The following is a 2,585-nucleotide window of genomic DNA, read 5'->3' as shown; positions in this document are numbered from 1 at the left end:
GTTAGATGAAATTTCCTCCATTTTTACAAAGAGGGAAACTGAGGCTCAGAGAGGTGATGTGACTCTGAAAGTTCTCCAGCTACTAAGTGATAGAGTCAGGATTCATACTCCGGGATTTCTCATGCTGATGCCTGTGTTCATTACATTCATTGCTACCCTGATTTTGCATACCCAGAACATTGAGGCCATAACAAATGCTGTGCACACAAGCACCCAGCCCCTTTACACGGCCCTACATGCTCACATGTACCTCATGTGTAGTGCTCACACATGTGTACACACAGGTCTGTGCCTGCCATATCCCCCTTGCTCACATGCAGCCACAGGTTGGCTACGTAGGTCCCAGCTGGAGAATGTCCACGTGATCCCAGCACGAGGTCAATATGACATCTGCTTCTTCTCCTTCTGAACACCAAGCTCTCAACCTCCAATCATGAATCCTTCTTTGCCTCATCCTTTTATAGAAAGTAGAGGCTACACACAGTTTCTGGGTCCTTTGTCTCTGTCTGCCCAATCTTGCAAGCTGGCCTTGATAGCAGCTCCTTTACACACCTTCAGCCCTGTGCCAGTTGACCCCACCCAGCAGGCAGCCATTTCACTGTGGGGCTCCCTGCATCAATGCACTGAATGGCACCCTGTTGCCCCCATTCCACTGTTCATTGTGCCTGACTCCCTACTTAATTTTTAAGACTTAAGTTAATTTCTTCAGGAAGCCTTCTCACCTCCCACTCAAGGCCAGGTTGGGTTCCCCTTCCCTGAGCACCCATGGTACCCTGAATCCACTTGTAAGAGCCCCCACCCTTCCTTGAGGTATGGATCTCCTTTCTTGCCTATAGTAGGACCTCTCCTACTAGACTGGGAGCTCTCTGAGGGGCAGGCACTGGGTCTGCTGTCCTTGTATTTGTGGAGGACAGCTCACAGTAGGTGCTCAGTTAGGGCTACCAAATTTAACAAATAAAAATACAAGATGCCCAGTTAATTCTGAATTTCAGATAAACAATGAATAGTAATAATAAAATAATAACAATGAATAGAAATATTGCATTATTTTATCTGTCAACCCAATGCCCAATAAATGTGGATTGCATTAATTCATAGGTGAATGAGCAAACAGCACAGAAAAAGAAACAGCAGTATATGTGGAAGAAAGCAAGAAAAATCAACTGGCCTGGAACCTAAGACTTGTCCAAAGATGTCACAGAGAGTAAAATGAGAAAAATCCAGTAGCCCGTGCCCAGAGCAGTTCCTCGTACCCAGTGAGTACTCCATCAGTAGTGACTGAGAGACTGAATGAATATTTTGCAGGAGGGAGGTGGTGTTGAATGCCAGAAAAAGTAGCAAGGATGTCAAAACAGAAATGGAGGGTGTGGTGGCGACAGTGGCTTTGGTCATGGGACATTTGAGGGAGTCAAGTGACCAGCAGGCTGCAGCCTCCAAGTCCCCAAAACTCAGATTCACAGAGTGGCCATGTCCTTATGAGAAATCAAGACTCTCCTCCCGGGCATTGTAGGGGTCTGTGCCTGCCTCGGCGCAGGTGCAGTTCAGCAGTGGACAGGGCAGCCCAGGCTCGAGAGGCCTTCCCAGGCCCACAGGCACAGCCACCCCCTCTAGCGGGACCTCCACTGTCAACCTTGGCCTGACTGGATGCCAGAGGATCACAATAAGTGCAGACCCCGGTTCTCCCCTCCCCATCACAGAGCAGAGGGAGCCACAGTTCCCTTGGGGCCCCTGGAAGCCCCCACCAGACTGGGCTTCCCCTGGAGCTCCGCATGCAGAACGTGGCCTTGGGGAGTTTCCCGAACCCTCTGAACCCTCTGAAACATGCGGCTGGGCTCCCAGGCCCCAGGCTGCCAGGCAGTGTTGTGGGGAGAGGGATGGTGTTGAGCTCCGGGGAGGAAACAGACCCCCATTGTCCCCCTGGGCCTGGCAGCACAAAGGGAGCCTGTGTCATGGCAGCAGATGTATGTGGCTGACTGTGGTGGACACCGGCCTAGGAGAAGCATACAGCCTGGGGACCCTGTCTGCTTCATGTCCCTCCAAGTGGGACCTGTGGGCTGGTTCTCTGTGCCTGAGGGATGGCATGTACGTGGGGCCACTGGCTATCTCCGACGGTGCACACCGTGTGTTCACACCAGGAGGTCTGAGTGCAGCAAGTGTATGCTTGCGTGTCTGCATGTGGCGATACACGTGTGCCTGGGCGAGTCTGCAAGTACGTAAGCATGTGGGTCTGTGAGTGTGCGCATCACATGGAGGGCAGGTGATGCTTCTGCGCACGTGGGAGCCCATGTGCCCAAACAGGCCGCCTTCCCCAAGAGCCTGGCCAAAAACGGCAGAACTGGCTGCCGAGCTTTCTTGGGAAAAAAAGTACCAAGATTGGGACCAAGGCTCTGTCCAAGGGAGACTCAGGCTGTGCACACACACATGCACACACACACACGCACACACACACAGTGGAGATGCTGCATTCTGCCTGGTACAGTGTTAGAGGGCAGGGCGGGGTGGGGCAGTGGAGGGGGGGTGGGTTCTCCTGTGGGGTGAGGGCCGCCCAGATGCTCCTGGGGTTTTGGGTGTGGCTGCCTCCTTCA

At 52.8% G+C, this 2,585-nt stretch overlaps 2 annotated features.

Annotated features, from left to right (window-relative positions):
- Nucleotides 1,213-1,994: an enhancer, noted in NCBI's record as "H3K4me1 hESC enhancer chr2:43227725-43228506 (GRCh37/hg19 assembly coordinates)". NCBI's record gives its function as "activates a minimal SCP1, AML or CMV promoter by ChIP-STARR-seq in naive H9 embryonic stem cells {active_cell/tissue: H9 hESC(naive)}" and the evidence as "EXISTENCE:reporter gene assay evidence [ECO:0000049][PMID:30033119]".
- Nucleotides 2,019-2,078: an enhancer, noted in NCBI's record as "active region_15656". NCBI's record gives its function as "activates an Ori minimal core promoter by ATAC-STARR-seq in GM12878 lymphoblastoid cells {active_cell/tissue: GM12878}" and the evidence as "EXISTENCE:reporter gene assay evidence [ECO:0000049][PMID:35858748]".

Source organism: Homo sapiens, chromosome 2 (genome assembly GCF_000001405.40).
Source record: "Homo sapiens chromosome 2, GRCh38.p14 Primary Assembly".
NCBI classification, from domain to species: Eukaryota; Metazoa; Chordata; class Mammalia; order Primates; family Hominidae; genus Homo; species Homo sapiens.
This window is presented reverse-complemented; position numbering and strand designations above follow the sequence as displayed.